General features: G+C 38.6%; 1 protein-coding gene across 14 annotated transcripts, besides 3 other annotated features; it reads right to left on the reverse strand.

Annotated features, from left to right (window-relative positions):
- Positions 331–18,320, reverse strand: IKZF5 (IKAROS family zinc finger 5). 14 transcript variants are annotated; one of them, XM_047425647.1, is made up of 6 exons: positions 18,219–18,320; positions 16,551–16,675; positions 15,765–15,872; positions 8,018–8,196; positions 5,519–5,701; positions 331–4,248 (listed from the first exon to the last, which is right to left on the reverse strand). In XM_047425647.1, the coding sequence occupies exons 4-6, from the start codon at positions 8,148–8,150 to the stop codon at positions 3,305–3,307; spliced, it is 1,260 nt and encodes a 419-aa protein (XP_047281603.1). In that variant the 5' UTR covers positions 8,151–8,196; positions 15,765–15,872; positions 16,551–16,675; positions 18,219–18,320; the 3' UTR covers positions 331–3,304. The 14 variants fall into 14 exon arrangements, with proteins under 14 accessions (XP_047281603.1, XP_006718010.1, XP_047281602.1 ...); XM_006717947.5 differs by having other exon boundaries at positions 8,018–8,183; positions 16,551–16,701; NM_001372127.1 differs by having other exon boundaries at positions 332–4,248; positions 16,551–16,701.
- Positions 10,722–10,908: a silencer, noted in NCBI's record as "fragment chr10:124760713-124760899 (GRCh37/hg19 assembly coordinates)". NCBI's record gives its function as "represses an EF-1alpha promoter that drives an FKBP-Casp9 reporter gene in an ReSE screen in K562 erythroleukemia cells {active_cell/tissue: K562}" and the evidence as "EXISTENCE:reporter gene assay evidence [ECO:0000049][PMID:32094911]".
- Positions 17,597–17,826: an enhancer, noted in NCBI's record as "active region_4144". NCBI's record gives its function as "activates an Ori minimal core promoter by ATAC-STARR-seq in GM12878 lymphoblastoid cells {active_cell/tissue: GM12878}" and the evidence as "EXISTENCE:reporter gene assay evidence [ECO:0000049][PMID:35858748]".
- Positions 18,107–18,436: an enhancer, noted in NCBI's record as "active region_4145". NCBI's record gives its function as "activates an Ori minimal core promoter by ATAC-STARR-seq in GM12878 lymphoblastoid cells {active_cell/tissue: GM12878}" and the evidence as "EXISTENCE:reporter gene assay evidence [ECO:0000049][PMID:35858748]".

An 18,504-nucleotide genomic window follows, 5' to 3' on the forward strand; every position in this document is an offset into this window, starting at 1 on the left:
AGTGAGTCAGTCACTTGTCAGATGTGATGTGGATAATTAAGCACAGAGGCAGCCTTCCTCATGTGCCAGGGCACTTAGGGTAGGGCTTGGGGGACGGGAGTCAAGTTAAATGGATCTTGAATAAAGAGAAGAAACTAGGAGGGGGACAAGTTGCGGATGTATGGAGCTGTTTTGTTTTTTAACTCGTGATAAATCTTCTCAGGTAAGGTATTTTAGAAATTCAAAGCAGTGTAGTCATAAAATCTATTTCTTTCATTAACTTAACATTTCACTAGTGGAAAATTACTAAAACACTAATTTGATCTTATTTTCCAAAAAAGAAAAACCAAGGTCATTAGAAAGTCTTATTTATTTATTACAAAAGCAAAGCTTCATTCACAATATGAACTGCATACTAGATATAGTTATTTCTGCATTAAACTGCTTTCCGGAATCCCTAAACAATATAGTGTATTGTACAACCATAATGCAAGTTATGTTTTGCATACAAAATATGTTCTTTACATCAAAGCACATGTTAACAAAAACAAGTTCTAGAAAGCATATACCCTCTAAGACTAATGAAAACGTCTTTAGCAGGGAATTAAAAAAAAATTAACATTCATTTGATAAATATTTTGTAGAACTTGAAATGAGGATTTTATCTCTGAGTATTTTTTGTAGTATTCCCCTTGTCCAGTTTTTGCAGAAGAATGGCAAACACTTATTTCTAAAATGAAATAGCCCTGGAAACACCCAGTGGAATTTTTTCAAAGTAAATGTCTAGCCTTAACTTGAAGTTCAAGAAGTTGTAGCTACATACTACATTAGTAAAATCTGAAATAAAATTATTCCCAGTTAATCTCTTCACAGTTTCTTAAAAAAATATTAGTGGAGATAAATTATCTACCAACTTTAAAAATCTAAACTTATGTTCACTGAACAAAAATAAATTTAGTTTCAGAACATTGCCTGTTAACGGCAAAGTACTATAAATAGTGCATGTTAAACTCTTCCCAACAACTCATTTCTATAAAATATTTGATTAAAAATAAAATGAGTGAAACATTCAATACAGAGGGGAAGACACGAACATCTTTTCAAATACAGAATAACTCACAGGAAATTTAAATAAAATCTAAATATTTTAAAAAATACCATACCAAAAAAGCCTCTAAGGTAGATTTGCCTCAAACATTTTAGTGCATTTAGAATAACTGTAGCTTCTTAGCATCAAAACCTTTGGGATATCAACTGTGCTCTTTAAGTCATGGCAAAATTATAATTTTACATTCTAGTATGTAATTATGAAAAAAATCTTTTCCATGTTTAAATTAAAATGCACCTTCACAACATCCATGGTCAGTTGTTAGAAAAAAATGCATTTGACAGAATACAGAGTTAATAAGCTGGTTTTAACAAGGGAGTTCTCTTTGTTTCATGAAAATTTTCATTTTCTATTTTGGGGTACTGCTTTTATCTGAAGAATAAAAATGGGAAAAAATAACCACAAAAACTTCCAAATGACAACCTGTTTCTTTCTGGCAACTGATAAATACTAAAGCCAAGTTACACACTTGGAAACTACTGCAGTAAAATGGATCTGAGCAGTCTGTGATTTAAACAACAATGTAACAGAATTGTAGAATTTTAAAGTACAAGATTTGACAAAGAAGAGAGTTCCAGTTTGGAGAAAGTGTCCTTGATGCTGCTCTTTAAACAATGCAGTAGCTTAGACTGGATGCTAAACTGCAAGAACTCATTACAGTGGCTTTCTAGCATCTGAAAGGGAAAGCAGAGATTCCATTAACTTGGCACTTGGGGGTTTTGTGGGTACATACCACCAATATTTCCCTTTCCTTTACTATTAGAGTTCTTTTTTGGTTAATAGATGCTTACTATTCTCTTTAAGATGCCAATTAGGGGCACATTCAACATATGAACAAAATTAAAAATAGAATTTTTGCAAAGTACACAGAAAAGAAACCAAGTTAGTAACAATGTATTTTATTGTTTGACCAAGCTCTCTTCAGAGTACGTGAGTTATTACACAATATAAAAACAATAGCCTCCTATTCAAAATGAATTACTCTATATTTAGTAAGTCTTATTTTTATAAACAAATTAAATGTCATGTTTAGATGCATTTTATATTCACTTCCACACCTTTTTATCCTTTCTTACTAAAGCGATGATTTAGTTTCTACACAGTTTCGTCACTGTACATGAAGACTGGTAAAACTGCAAATAAGAATTACAATTTGAAGTCACAGAAAATATTTTAAATGGCTAATTCTGAAGAGGAGACAAGAATCCATTTTGGACATGTTCTCAGTTTTGTAAATATGACTTCACTATCACATTCTCTCATGTGTTTCCATACCCACCTTTTCTTGGAAATTATGGGCAGAAAATGGATAGAAGGAAGGAAAAGGAATCTTGAGAAATTTGTTTGGAGGCTGCATTTTAATAATAAGGATGACTTCACTTTATCTCTTTGGTCATCAAAGGAATAGGAAGAATAAGAGATTCTCATTATAGTTATCCACCTCACCTAACAGTAATGATATCAGAATGAAGGATTTAAATGAAAGTCAAACTGACAGGGGAAAAAGGCATCTAGCACTCTAGTGTATTTACCTGTGAAAATAAAAATCCAGTGGAAAACTGACATGTGTTTAGACATTGAATAAACAAGTTATTTTAAATATTAAAAGAATTTTCAATTTCAAGTCTTAACTGTTTTACATTTCCTCTTGTGGAAAAAAGAAAATTTTTACTAAACTGAAATAGCTTTACTATTATCAGTTGAAATGAAACTACCGATTCAACTTAAGGAATGTGAACTAAATGATATTTCAATTAATAGCAATTTTTAAGGCAATTTCTGTACTAAACACTGAAATGAGTAGTAATAAATTCTGTAATTTATTCTACCATTTTGAAATATGGCAGAAATAACATCCAGTTCAATGCATATTGAAACATCAAAAGTATGGATAAGCCTTGAAGTTTTTATGGACCATAAATGTGAGAAATTCAAATGAACATCTTGTAAGATTATGACTGCACTCCAATTCTCCAATGTCGAAAGGAAAGGAAAAAAGAGACACCAATGTGTCTAACTGTTCTAATATATAAATGACCCTGACCAGATTTTTATGAAAAAAAGGGGAAATTTTATTCCACTGACAAATTTATATTCTATAAATATAATGTATAAGCCTTGAATTAGCAGACACTTTATTAGGGATGACCAAAACAAAAAACAAAAAAAACCAAACCACAAAAACAGCAAAACTAAGTAAAATATGACTATTTTCAATCAATGTTGGTTATGTTGCCCTCTTGCAAAATGACAGGCAAAATCATACTTGTTTTTACATTTGCATCCACATATATTACACTGAAAAGGATTTTCATACCCATGACATCCCATATGAATAGTGTAAAGGATGTTGTCTGCAAAGTACATATCACAGTGCTGGCAGTGGTGCAGAAGCTGAGGGTCCTGGACCGGCAGGGCTGGGGCTGGGGTGCTTGGCTGGCTGTTTCCTATGCTGGGAGTGCTCGTGTGGGCACTTGGCTCACTGCTTGGACCTGCCACTGGACTATAGTTCCTTTGACTATGGGATGGCCGAGGTTCTGGGCTTGTGGGAGAGGAGCTCTGAGGAATACTTGCTGATACGGCAGAAACTACTGCTTGGGTAGAGGGCTGCTGAATCATGAAAGGCTTTTCATCAGGGCAGGGAACTACATCAGGGGATGCAGGGTTTTGGTTTTCGGGTGGCAGACTGGACAACTGCCCTGCTAGAGTCGAGAGCTGATTCAAAGGGTTATCAACCATGAGTTCTTGGGGGTCCCTTGGAAGGCCACCAGTTGGTGTGGTTTTTGCCATACTTTCATAGGAGTCAGTCTGGATATTTGGGATTTCGTGGGTAAAATCGTTAAGGTAGTCTGGTTTCTGAACCACCATGGAAGGTGGACTTAAGTTGATTAGTGCTCTTCTGCTATAGCCCAGATTGCTTGTTTTCTTCTGTAAAACCCCCCACATTTTCTTGCTGCTTAAGGAAGACCTAGTACCTTTAATTGGTACCATTTTATGCTTGCGCCTTCGATGATGGGACAAGTTACTTCGATCACTGCAGCGGAAGGAACATAATTCACATTTGTATGGTTTTTCTCCAGTATGAGAACGCATATGGGCTTCCAGATGACGCTCATAAGCAGATGCAAATGGACAAAGATGACATCGATGAGGTTTTTCACCTGTTTCAAAAGAAAAATGATGGAGAAACTACAAGAGTAGTTCATTTATGGAAAGTTTTGCTTGTCCATTCATTGGACAACTGGAAATTGATCAAAAAGAAAATGCTTTCAGAAAGTCATATTTGCATAGCATATGAGATTGTTAAAATTTGTAAATAAACCCACAAATTGAAATAAAGCTTAAGAACTCATCAGCAACAACCTGAAATATGCATTGATGTTGTATTAGTCAATACAGTATAAAAACTGTTATGGCTTCGAATGCATTTAGAGAGAAGAAACAGTACAATTGAAATATTCTAGTAATAGTCTTACATAATAATGAGTTTATCAAAAGTATGTCTCAGTTATATATTCATGTATACATTTATATACATTCATATTCACACACACACATATGCATACCCTTTGCTCACAGAAAAAAAAATACAAAAAAAGCTTTTTTTAAAGTCCTTATATGAAATAGAAAGCTCAGAATTGAAATGGGCTTGCTAGTCTGAGTTATGCAAAGCATCCCTTCAAAATTGCTAGTGCTTCTCCTCCATCTTCCTACTCTTCAGCTGCCAGAAGGAACAACTATAGTTAATGTTGTTAACTGAAGACTGCCCAATTATGTGAAATAAACATTTGGAATATGAGATTTAGAGTCATTCATCTAGTAAGTATGTGTCACATGCCCTCCTAGGCTCTGGGGGTACAAAGATGGTCTTGTCACAATTGCCCTGTCCTCAAGAGGCTCTCAGGCTACAATGATGTGATGAATGAGCACAGGATGCATGAAGCACACAGGAAGGACGTCTGACCTGGTCTTGGGCAGAGGGCAGATGTAGTTGGGAAAGTTTCTCAGAAGGGACAGCTAAAGTGAGATCTGGGATTAGCAGTACCATCTGCAACTGTATACTTTCTGAAACCTTTCCCCCTTTCGGCAAATGAAACGTAATAGGATAAAGATTAAAACATTTTATCACATCGCAGTGCTTTAGCATTATTCCTTCCCAATCTGAGAGGCAGGCAGATGTTGAGAGATTATTTGGATCAAGAGGGAAACACGGCTAAGGAAGGAGAGGATCTACAAAGGGCATCACTTCTGACCTGTTTGTATGTTGTTATGTTGTTGCTTTGAAAAATGGAGTAACTTTCCCATTTATTCGAACTTTACATAAACCTTCATTTTTGAATATTAAAACTATTTCTATGACAAACCAACCTGCCCCCCTTGGCCCCTCTCCTGCCCTCACAGAAATGCTTTTTCCAGCTGTCTTTCCATTACCTGTGTGGATTCTGATGTGTTCAATAAGCCGGGCTGTTCCTTTGCTGGCATAGTTGCAGTACCGACACTTAAGCTTCCCATCAAAGGTCCTTTCAAACCCGTCTACTAACATTCCTGAGTTTTCATCCAAGGAAACTTCAACAGATGGGTGATCAAGTCCATTTTGATCACCATCTGTTCCAGCTATAAACAAAGTACCGCAAAAGAAATTATGCATCTCAGAATCAACTCAATTTAGCATTTCAGTTTTAAGTGGTTGAAAAATCTTATAAATTGACAGTTCACTTCTCACAAAAGTTAAGTCCATTTTATAACAGACTTTCTGAACTGAGGCTAATTTTATACAAAAGCAGTAATACATTCTGTATTATATTCTGAGAACCTTTTATTGGGGGATCTCAAATTATTTACACAAGGCCAGTGCAGTGGCTCATACCTGTAATCCCAGAACTTTGGGAGGCAGAGGTGGGGGGATAGCTTGAGGCCAGGAGTTAGAGACCAGCCTAGCCAACATGGCAAAACCCTGTCTCTACTTAAAAAAAAAAAAAAAAATTACAAAAATTAGCTGGGCATGGTGGTGCACACCTGTAGTCCCAGCTACTCAGGAGGCTGAGGCATGAGAATCGCTGGAATCCAGGAGGCAGAGGTTGCAGTGAGCCAAGATTGTGCCACTGTACTCCAGCCTGGGCGACAGAGCAAGACTGTGTCTCAAAAACAAAGAAAACAAAATTACTTACACACACATTGTACTGGTCCTTAACATGTTTTTGAAGAAGTGAACAGGTGAGGAGGGAGGGGAATAAAGAGATTCACTGGAGAGTGATGGCACAGTTACACACAGGTGTTTAGCACCCTCGCTATTTCTACAACTGAAACTGGCAGTCAAAGAATCTCCAAAACCCTAACTCTATTTATTTTAGTCTGAAGCAGTGAATAAGTTTTCCACATCCCAGTGTTTATATGTACGTTCTAGATCTCTGTTCCATTTAGGATCTTAAAATTCTAATTAAGCCCATAAAGGAAAGTATCGTCCCTGATACCTCTGAAGGTTAAGGTTTTAAGAATCTCAGAGATAAAACATGTTTGGCTGTTTGCTTTTAATCTAATCTGACTACTTTTTTGTAGAAAGAAACTGAAGAGACCTGATGCTCATAATCAGGAAAATCGGCAAATGGCTGGGACTACAACCCTGGTCTCTTGAATCCTGTTTGGAAATCTGTGCGTTAGGAGGGAAATTTCCATTCCTACAGCTTCATGGGAAAAGGTCTACTCCATTTCAGGAGGTAACAGTCCTGGCATGCACAATTCAAGCCCCCTGCTTCACCGGTTCCTCACTCCTCACTAGGAGAAGTGATTCTGCTGGTTGAGACAAGACCAATATCCAAGAGGGCTACACTGCATTCGAGGGACAAGGCTCAGTGTCTTCCTCTCTCCCACTGCTTTCCCAAGCCAGTCACTATCACATTTTAATGTGTATGTGAATTACTTGGGGGATCTTATTAAAACACAGATTATAATTCAGTAGATCTGGGGTGGTGTCTGGTGTTTTGTATTTTTAACAAGCTCCCGGGTGATGCCTGGTCCCTGCTGCTAGTCCCTGCATTATAAGGCCGTACCCAGACTATCTAGGTCAGGGGTCAGCAAACTTTTTCTATAGGCATGAAATAGTAAATACTTCAGGCTTTGTGGGCCATATGGTCTCTACCACAACTGCTCAACTCTGCTGTTTTAGCAAAACAAACAAAAACAGCTACAGAAAATATGTAAACAAATGAGCATATCTGTGTTCCAATTAAATTTTACTTATGTGGACTCAAGTTTGAACTTCACAGAATTTTCATGTATCATTACATTATTCTCCTTTTGACACTTTTAAAACCATCTTTAAATGTAAAAACCATTCTTAGCTTGCAGGCCATACAAAAACAGCAGTCCAGATGGGGCCCACGGGCTATAGTTTGCTGACCTCCGAGCTAGGTTAGGAATAAATTCCAGTTTTTTGTGGCAAGCAAATTAGACAAAATTTACCTCTAGCAGGCTCAAGGAGGTCACCACTTTCTCTATTTTCATTTCTCTTCTTGGATAGGTAAACATGGTCAGCCCTTTCTTCATTTTAAGAGAGAAGAAACTGAAACCCCTATTTTTATCTCAGGTCGAATCCAGATTTCCTGATGGCCTAATGGTTTGTATAGTGAAGCTGATATTCCAATCCCCTTTGGGTTCTTTGTGTCTAATGGTAGCTCATAAAAACTGGAGGACAGGAAGGGTATTTGGAGCCCCTAACCTTCCAACAAGACCATAATGCATCTCCAGACCATGTTAAGTACTCTCCAGCAGAAGTCTGATATGTTTAAAAAAGGGGGAAAAAATGCCCTGTATCTTTCTAGAAAAAACAGAATGATTCACATTAATGCGCAGTGGTCTTCACAGTAACAGCTACACGCAATCATAGTACGTGTATAAAAAGTGAATTACTTAGTAGTATTAAAATGAGTCTACCTCCCTGAAGAGCCTCTGCTTCTTTGTCCCCACTAACTGATCCAGAAATCATGTTCACGTGATGGGTCTGCTGAGTCAGGTATTCCTGAAAATCTTTCACGAAGTCCAAAGGCTCTGGTTTTTTTTCACCCATCTTTGCTTTTTTAACATTTACAGTTTGTTAGACCTAGAAAACAAAACTGAAACAATTTTACACTATTTAGGGAGATCTAGTACATAGCAAACAAATGACAAAAGCTATTTTGTGCAAGACACTATATAAAGCAAGAGAAAACACAGTGCCTGCCTTTCAGCATCTTATAATCTTACTGGTGAACTAAAGACATACACAAAATGGTAAAAAATCAATATATTTAATAATTAAATATAAATACGGATTCAAACTTAGTCACAGAGGATGGGAAGAAATTTCAAAGGCAGAAAAAAAGAGAAAACAAGTTCAGATTAAATAAATAAGAACACAAGCAGAGATTATTGATGAAGAAGACAAGAAACCAAGGAGACCGGAGACCAACATAGGGAGAACTTGTCCCTACAAAAAAAAGTGTTTTTAATTAGCTGAGTGGTGGCACATGCTGATGGTCCCAGCTACTCAGGAGGCTGAGGCAGGAGAATTGCTTGGGTCTGAGTGGTCAAGGCTGCAGTGAGCCGTGATTGCACCACTGGACTCCAACCTGGTTGACAAAAGGAGACTATTTTCTGGATGATGGACATGTTTCTTATCTGTGCTATTCCTACGCAGTTGCTACTAGCCACATATAGCTACTGAGGCACTTGAAATTTGGCTAATACATATGACCTGAGTTTTTAATGTTATTAATTTAAATAGAAATAGCTGCATGCAGCTAGTAACTACCAGCAAAGGCTCTTAAGACATAGTGTTCACATGAATGAGTAGTCTGCAAATAAGTGGTCTAGAACTAGGGGTTGCAAAGTTTTTATGAAGGGCCAGTTAGTAAATATTTTAGGCTTTGCAAGCCATGCTCATCTTTGCTGCAATTACTCAACTGTGTCACGGTAAGAAGCCACAGACAATAGGCAGCCACAGACAGTATGTAAACAAATGGGTGGGGCTATGTTCCAATTAGACTTTATAACAACAGGCGTTGAGCCAGATTTGGCCTACAGGCCTTAGCTTCCCAACCCCTGCTCTAGAAATATCCAAATCACCACCTCTACTACCTATCATCCTATCCACTCCAAGACTAGGGAAAAATAAAAAAGTAAAAGAAAATCCCTGACCGTAGTGTAGAAAGGGAAAGTCTCTTGTGTGTTCTGCAATCACAAGCTGGTCTTCACATAGGTTTATGGCCCAAATTCACAAATAAAATAGCCAAAAAAGTTTTCTAGTAAGAATAAGATGAAGTCTAGCACCTGGGATAAAAAAGGTCTTTTCTTCCAGGAAAAACAATTTTTATGCAAATAAGTACAATTCTCTGGTAAATATACCTTATAAAATCTTCTTTTTCTAAACTCAAACTATTTAATGAATAATTTTCCATCTAAACAAGCTTCCATCTTTAGTAGCCAGTGGTAGACAAAAAATTACTCACTTTCAGCATATATGCTTAACTTTTTGTTGAAGTCTTGTACATATATAGAAAAGCACATAAATCATAAGAGCAGAGCTCAATGAATTGTCACAAAATGAACACATTCATAAAATCAGCACCACAATCAAGAAACAGAAGGATGCCGGCATCCCAGAAACCCCCCTCGTGTACCCTTCCAATGCTAGGACCCTCTGCCCTGACAAGGGTTACAGCCATCCTGACTTCTGACTCTGTAGATTAGTTTTGTCTGTTCTTCAGCTTTATGTAAATGGAATCACACACTATGAACCTTTGTCTGGCTTCTGTCACTCAACATTGTAATTGTAAGATTCATCCATATTGTTGCATGCAACTGAAGTTTGCTCAAATTTACTGCTGGAGTCTGTTGTATGACCATGCCACAACTCATTTATCTCTTATACTGTTTTTAGATCATTTGGGTAATTTCCAGTAATTGGCTGCTGTGAATAAAGTTTCTATGAACATATTACTACACGTTTTTTGATTACGTACATATTTCTGTTGGTTGTATAGAAGTGAAACTGCTGGATCAAAGGCATGCATATATTCAGTTTTAGATAATGTCAAATAGGTTTTCAAAGTGATTATAGCAATTTACACTCCCACTAGCAGTAAACAAAACTGCTGCTGCTCCACATCCTTGACAATACTTGGGCATGTTTTGCCTTTTTCGTTTTAGCCGTTCTGGTGGGTGTCTAGTGGTATCACATTACTTTTAATTTACATTCCTTGGTGACTAATGAAGATGTAAACTTTTTAATATATACTAATTAACCACTTAGATACCCTCTGTTGTATAATGTCTGCTCATACCTTTTGCTTATTTTTCTATTGTGTTGTCTTTTTCTAATATGGAAGAATGCTTTATAATGAGTCCTTTATTAGGATATGTGCATCTTAAGTATCTCCCACTGTGGTTGCCTTTTCGTTTTCTCTTCTTTTCTTTTCTTTTTTTTTTTTTGAAACAGAATCTCACTCTGTCGCCCAGGCTGGGGTGCAGTGCCGTGATCTCGGCTCACTGCAAGCTCCACCTCCCAGGTTCACGCCACCTGCCTCAGCCTCCCGAGTAGCTGGGACTACAGGTGTCCGCCACCACGCCCAGTTAATTTTTTTGTATTTTTAGTAGAGATGTGGTTTCACCGTGTTAGCCAGGATGGTCTCGATCTCCCGACCTTGTGATCTGCCCACCTCGGCCTCCCAAAGGGCTGGGATTACAGACGTGAGCCACTGCGCCCGGCCTTCACTTTCTTAATGGTAATTTTTGATGAACAGAAGTTCTTAATATAGTACAATTTACCCATTTTTATCCTTTACATTTAGAGTTGTTTGTGTCCTAGTTAAGAAATCCTTGCCTACATCTTACTTGAAGATGTTCTCCTATACTTTCTTCTAAATGCTTTTTATTTTACCTTTCATATTTTTATCTGGACTTGAGTTTTGTGTATGGTGTGAGATAAGAGTCAAAGCATACTTTTTTCCAAAGAGATATCCAACTGTCCCAGCAATGTGTACCTAACAGATCGGCCTTTCTCTACTAAGCTCTGATGTCTTCTTTTTAAATCAAATGGTTATATGCACGTATGTGGCTCTGCTTCTGGATTCTCTGTTCTGTTCCACTAGCCTATCTGTCCTTGCTGCCATACCAGATACTCTTAATAATAAGTCTTGCTATCACAGTAATTTAAGTCCCCCTGCTTTGTTTTTCTTCTTCAAGAATAGGCTGTTCTTGGGCCTTTTCAGCCTAAGTTTTTAAATAGTAGAACTGTAGGGTTGAGGAATGAGGGGGTTCTGCAAAAGCAGATTTTCCAATTTACAAAAATATGACCAACTTTTTAAGAATCAAAACTTCTTCTTTGACTTAACTCGAAATCTACTGGAAATAGACCAACATTTGACATACCATTAATATGAATTATTGTACTTTACAACCACTCAGTAACAGGGCTGTTTTTGTTTTCCCTGTTTCCTGGCTTCAGACTGATCTATCTTATTTTCGTACTTCTTGTCTTCTCTCTTCACATCTAGTCTCTTCTTTGTTCCAAACATATTTAGCCAAATAAGGACTTACAGGTAACTGAATTCTCTTTTCTTAATTCAATACTTGTGAATCGTTCCTTTCCTCCCTTTTTAGAAGCTACGGTAGTTCTAGGGGCTTTTAAAAATTATTAGTGGCCGGGCGCAGTGGCTCACGCTTGTAATCCCAGCACTTTGGGAGGCCGAGGTGGGTGGATCACGAGGTCAAGAGATGGAGACCATGCTGGCCAACATGGTGAAACCCCATCTCTACTAAAAATACCAAAAAAATTAGCCGGGCATGGCAGCAGGCGCCTGTAATCCCTGCTTTTCGGTAGGCTGAGGCAGGAGAATCGCTTGAACCCGGGAGGCAGAGGTTGCAGTGAGCCCAGATCGCACCACTGCACTCCAGCCTGGCGACAGAGCAAAATTCTGTCTCCAAAAAAAAAAAAAAAATTATTAGTGCCAGGCACGGTGGCTCATATCTGTAATTCCAGCACTTTGGGAGGCCGAGGCAGGCAGGTCACGAGGTCAGGAGTTCGAGACCAGCCTGGCCAGCATGGTGAAACCCCGTCTCTACTAAAAATACAAAAAAATTAGCCAGGCGTGGTGGCAGAAGAATTGATTGAACCCAGGAGGTGGAGGCTGCAGTAAGCTGAGATTGTGCCACTGCACTCCAGCCTGGAAGACAGAGCAAGACTCCGTCTAAAAAAAAAAAAAAAAAACCAAAACATTATTAGTATTACTACCCCTTTTCAGGTAGAAAAGCCTATTTTTTAGAAAATTGTCTAGGAAGTTGAGACTACTGAAAGTTTATCCTCTGGACAAGTAGAGTATAGTCAACTCTATATCCACAGGTTCTGTTATCTGTTGATTCAACCAACTGCAAAACAAGATTATTTGGAAAAAATGGATGGTTGCATCTATATTAAACACGTACAGACTTTTTCTTTTCTTTTTTTTTTTTTGAGACGGAGTTTCGTTCTTGTTGCCCAGGCTGGAGTGCAATGGCGTGATCTCGGCTCACTGCAACCTCTGCCTCCCAGGTTCAAGCAATTCTCCTGCCTTAGCCTCCAGAGTAGCTGGGATTACAGGTGCCCGCTACCACACCCGGCTGATATTTTTTGTATTTTTAGTAGAGAGGGGGTTTCACCAGACTTTTGTGGGGGGGGGGGTCATAATTCCCTAAACAATACAGTGTAACTATTTACATAGCATTTACATTGTATTAGGTATTATAAATAATCTAGAGCTTAAAGTATGCAAGAGGATGAGATTGTGAGTTATATGCAAATACTAAGCCATTTTATATAAAGGACTGGAGCACCCGCAAATTTTGCTATCTACAGGGGTCCTGGAACCAGTACCTACCAGATATGGAGGGACAACTTTAAGACTATGAACAGGGACCTCTCTCAGCCTTAGTTTCCTATTTTGTAAAATGGAATCATAATCCAACTTGCAGTGCTATCTTAAGTTTTATAGGTAAGTATACATAAAGCATATTGTGACATGTATCACATATGGTAGGCTATCAGAAAATGGCGGCTATTTTTCTAATAATTATTTTTGTAGCAAATAGAAAAAATGGTTATAACTTAGATTTTAAAATTCTCACCACCCCTGATTCCGTTATTCCCCTTTTTCTATGGGTTCATCAACGTGGTTGAAAAATATACTGAGCATCTGTTTCTTAGTTACAACGAAACAAACATGTTCCACCTTAGTCTCAAGTAATTCCAATTTGCAATTTTTCAAATCACTTTGCAATTTCTCAAACAGATCTTTGCTTATTTTACTTATAGGCCACCTCTTTAAATCACTTGCTTTAGTCTGGCTCAGCTTTCTGAATCTTAAGGATTATTGTTGGCTTTTGAACACATTTGTTTCCGTTGTTTTTTTCCCCATCTTATCATGTTTATTTGAACTAGTTCTCTGTTTCTTTATCATTGTGTTACTATTTGTTTTGTGACTACAGTTGATTGTGCTGATTATCTGTCCTTTAAATTTGCTCTTGGTGGGAAAATGTAAGCTAGTCAGCTCCAGTGAAAAAGACTATCAAGAATAAGATCTGGGAAAATATTTTTTTAATTTGTAAAAGCTGTATAGCCCTACAGATTGTCTGCGTTCTAATTATAAAAGCTATAATTAAGAAAGAAATCCCAGTATTTACATTGTAACTTAGCATCACTTCTTGCCAATCAGTTCACATGAAAACTATACATTTCTCCTGGAAAATGTCTGAATATACTTTGACAGGCTTCTGGAAGCAAGATAATCCTTACCAAATCTTGATTAGAAAGCATAACGTTGCTACAGTACAACGTGACAGTGCAGTAAAAACACACAAGACTGCCAGAAAGCAAGCAGAAGAAAATGATATTTTTATACATGCATCTCAAGTTTAAGAACACAAATGAGCCTAATTACAGAGGATGGCTGGCATATTTTGACAGTCTTGGCTATTATCACATTGTCACATTATAAACTTCACTGTGTTCCTTGCCATAAATTGTGTGCTGCTTTTCAACCACAATGCATGATAAACTTAAAAAAAAAAAAAGCATGTCTATGAAATAGAGAACACTGTAACATTGCAAACATGAAGAAAAACTCTTCTTAAATTAGAATTTTAAATATATTAGTATGCTTTATAACCTTAAACATCCTGTCATGATTTAAAAATTAGGTGTCATTTCGTCCCTAAGCATTTTTGTGCCCACTTGACCTGTATGGCCTCTATCCCATATATCCATATACACAGGGTATGACAGGTGCTTGCAAAGCCCTAGTCTATAGTAGAGACATATATGAATGAAAGGTGCCTAAAGTGAAGTAGAGTCTTCGGCTCAAAACTCAGCTTTCTACATCTCAAGTCAATATTTCTAAGCATAATAAATTGAAAAATAGTAATAATTCTGAAACTGGGCTGGACATGGTGGCTTATGACTACAATCCCAGCACTTTCAGAGGCTAAGGTGGGAGGACTGCCTGAGCTCAGGAGTTCAAGACCAGTCCAGGCAACAGAGCGAGACCTCATCTCTAATTTTTAAAAGAAAAAAAAAATTTCTGGAACTACAAAAGACTTCCTCTTATAGAAAGAAAATAAAGGTTTTCTATCTGAGCCATTTTCCTGTCTTTGATGTAATTATCATCAGTCTCAAGTCTCAAAGTTTAATCTAGGAACTCCACAAATTAACTGATACCCAGAGATGCCTCTAAGGCATTGATAAATTTTAAAACCTTTGCAAACATAACAAAATATACTTTAGAAAATCCACAAGCTATAATTTTTTTAGTGGTATCTTTCCTATACTGGACATGAACTCAATACCTTGGTGTTTGTTAGCCAAAAAATTACTTACTTAACACAAAATTTCAATGTATGATATCATGTCATCTGAACAAGAAATATACTTAAGTATTCTCCAGTATTATTACAGATGTGGGTGGTGTTATTACAACTCAGATGTACTCTTTCTGCTGGTATCGTCATGGACTGAATGTTTATGTCCCCAAAAGCTGATATGTTGAAATTCTAACCCCCAATTTGATGGCATCTGGAGTGGGGCCTTTGAGAAATAATTGGGTTGTAAAGGTGAAGTCCTCTAAATGGGATTAGTGCCTTGTGAAGAGATCCAGAGATCTTGCTTCCTCTCTGCTCTTTGCCATGAGAGGATACAATCAGAAAGCAAGCCCTCCCCAGATACCTGATCTGCTGGCACCTTCATATTAAGATTTCCCAGCCTCCAGAACTGTGAGAAATAAATGTTTGTTTAAACCACTCAGTCTATGGTAATTCGTTACAGCAACCTGAACTAAGATATCTAATCATATCAACCAAAGAGAACAATATCCCCATACTTTATGATGATTGTTCCTTATGATATAGCAAAATTCCCAAATCCTTCCTGTGATTATTCTGATTAAAGTTAAGTTGAATATAGTATGGAATTCCATGGGGTGTAGGTGGATATCTATATAGAAACTGGCTAGGGTATACCTAAAGTATTGTCATGCCAGTAGCGTCCCCCAATTTATTATTCAAGGCTCAAAATCAATGCTTTCAGAAAACAACCAGAGGCTATGCAAGCCGGTAGGGGGAAAAGAGGTATAAGAGAATTAAGCTTTGATATCCCAAAGAACAGGAAAACCTCTACCTCAAGTAGGTAATTTAGGCTAATTTCCGATCTTCCTTGGTTTCTGATAAAGGATTTATTTTGTATGAAGTCGTCTGATCTTTCTTCTTCAGTCTCATAAATGGGAAGCTGTTGATCAATGCAAGCATATATACAAGCACACACACACAATTACATGTGTGTATATATGTGCACCCCCCCCAGCCTCTTAACCAGTAGCTAATAATTTAAAACACAGGCACTGAAATGCAAATTAGAAGGCATTCACAACTATGAAACAACCAGAGAAGAAGCTCTCTAACCTATCTTCCTTCTTCCTTCTATCTTTTTTATAAACTGTGGGAGAATTTTGAGAACATGATTAGGGAACAGCAGGATATGTTTCGTTCACCTAGCATTCATGAGAAGTCTTACTTCTCATAGGTAACCATAAGGAAGAATACAATATTAGCAACTAATTTACTTACATAATAATTTATGGGTAAGGCAGGCCTATACACATAAAGTGATTACAGTTCAATAGATGTGTTTACCCTCCATAGCCTAATAATTATGGTCACTGAGATTTACTCTGCTATAGAACACATATAAACAGACAACGTTGACAAATAAGGATTGGTTTCTATGGAGTAACATGGGCCTTCCAAAATAATTGGAACACAATTCCTGATTTCAGAACTGTCAAAAACTCTTGAAGGCAAAAAAAGAAATTATGAGGCTCTGAGAAATCAGAAATCAAAACATAAAAATAAAACATAAGTAAAACCATGTTGAAAGAAATCCAGAAGAGAAATTATACAATCTAACCTTTTCACCCCAAATCTGTTCCTCCTTTTTCTTGCCACTCCAACATTGATGAAATGTAGAGTAATTGAAATTTACTTCGGAGATACAGCAAGGGACTCCAAAAGGCCATGGAGAGAGAATTTCAACTAAAATTGAAAAGCCATACAGAGGTCTGCATAAAAAACAAACAGCACACCACAAATCAAAACCTTTAAGATAAAAACTTAATTAGCATCTACAGGTTGAATGAGCTAGTAACTTATGCCAATCTTATCATTACATTAGCTGAAAAGAAAACGAACTGACAGATTAATCAAAGAACAAAGCAGTAGCTTCACTTCAGCAAAAGCTCCATAGGATCACCAAAGAATAACTGGTGTGACTACCGTTTTCTCACTGGTGGATTAGTTTTTGGCAAGATTTTTAATGTCTAAATTTAAGTTAAACTTCAGTTTAAAGAAATTAAGATTAACTTCATTTAGTCACAGCACACTTCCAAAACGGTCAAGCTTAGTACTGCTGAACAGCTGTAGTTGCATAAAAACAACGCATAGTCCTAAGTAGGGAAATGGGAAAGGGCTTTAAATACAAAAACAAAAAAAACATGCACACCCGATAAGGGCACATCTGAATCCCATCCTTCTTATCCTATCATAACACAAAACAGCTACGGTTTTCTGGGAAACATCCTGGACCGCTAGGGGAAAATAACACCAGACATTTCAATTCACTGTAACGAACTCTCATCAATAATAATAACCTTTAGCTGTTGTGACAACACGACATAAATCAAAATTAAATTGAATTTTTAAAATTGTTAGTTCCTACGTTTAAAAAAAAGTTGTTTTAAATACATTCTGTTCTTTCAAAACTGAATTTCCTCAGATCACACAATTTAAGACGCCTTTATGTCTTCTTCCGCTTGTCACACGTCTTTCGGGTTCTGACCAGCACATCAAGGGGACTCTAAGCAGGCCACGTGGTTAGTGTTTGCTAGAACTTGTTTAGCTTCAGATCCAGTCATCGAGCATGCTAGGCTTGGCTACTCGCGCTCCACACAGTTTATCCAAAGATCTAAACCCCGAATGAACCTGAATAGTTATTTGCTACAATGTCTTTCTCAAATCTCACATGTTCCTAAAATAAGGGTGCCCATGCAGTAGAGACGGATCCGGGCAGGATCATTAGATAAAATACGAAGGCTTTAAACGTCCTTCTCCCAACAATCAGCCTGGGACCGGCGTCGGGGCAGCAGCCTCACCAAGATTCGGAGCGACATCCTCGCCAGGATTCGAAACACCTAGGAGACCCGCGCCCGGCTGACTCCCAGCCCCTGGGACCCCGTGAAGACGCAAACCTCGGGACGCCTCCCGCAGAACCACCTGTCAGAGCCAAGCAACAGTCCCCGCCCCGGAGCCTCCGAGCTCCTGCTCGAAGGCAATGACAGCAGGAGACCCCGCTCCCTCGGGGTTCTCGCGGCCATAGGCGCCGCAGTCCACTGCCCTCCGGCTAAAGAGGTCCCGGGCCATCACCTGCCCGCCTACCGACCACGCCCGACCCTCCACTGAACTGAGTCTCCGTCCGGATCAGCCGGCCCGCCACGAACCCAGCTCCAGTCTCCGGCCGCTCCTTCTTATCCGCCCTGTCCTGCCGCGTCGCCGCCGTCCGAGCCGGCAGCCTGCTACTTACCTCCTGACAACTGCATGGAGTAAACCACACCGCCTTGTTAAATGCCGTCGCCGCCGCCGCCGTCTTCGTCACCGTCACAGTCGCCGCCGCCATCTTTGTTGTGTCTCCGACTCCCTTCCCGCCCCCCTGCCTTGCTCAAGTCTCGCGTGAGCAGGATGGAGGGCGAAAGCGAGGAGGGGCCTGTTTGTCTCTCTTGGGGTTCCGTAGGCAGCAGGGGGCAGGGATTAAGGGGGGGTGTGTGCGGGGCGGGTACTGAGTGGGCGGGGCCTTGCTCGGGTAACTCCCA

The sequence above is a fragment of the Homo sapiens genome, chromosome 10, assembly GCF_000001405.40.
Source record: "Homo sapiens chromosome 10, GRCh38.p14 Primary Assembly".
Taxonomy (NCBI): Eukaryota; Metazoa; Chordata; class Mammalia; order Primates; family Hominidae; genus Homo; species Homo sapiens.

What these genes read in the sequence shown, in the direction of transcription:
- IKZF5 (XM_047425646.1), bottom strand. Translation starts at nt 8,150, where the DNA reads ATGGGTGAAAAAAAACCAGAGCCTTTGGACTTCGTGAAAGATTTTCAG. An exon ending in AGCAGAGGCTCTTCAGGGAG is followed by an intron (nt 5,702 to 8,017) that starts GTAGACTCATTT and finishes CTTTGTTTATAG; the next exon opens with CTGGAACAGATGGTGATCAA. An exon ending in ACACATCAGAATCCACACAG is followed by an intron (nt 4,249 to 5,518) that starts GTAATGGAAAGA and finishes CTTTTGAAACAG; the next exon opens with GTGAAAAACCTCATCGATGT.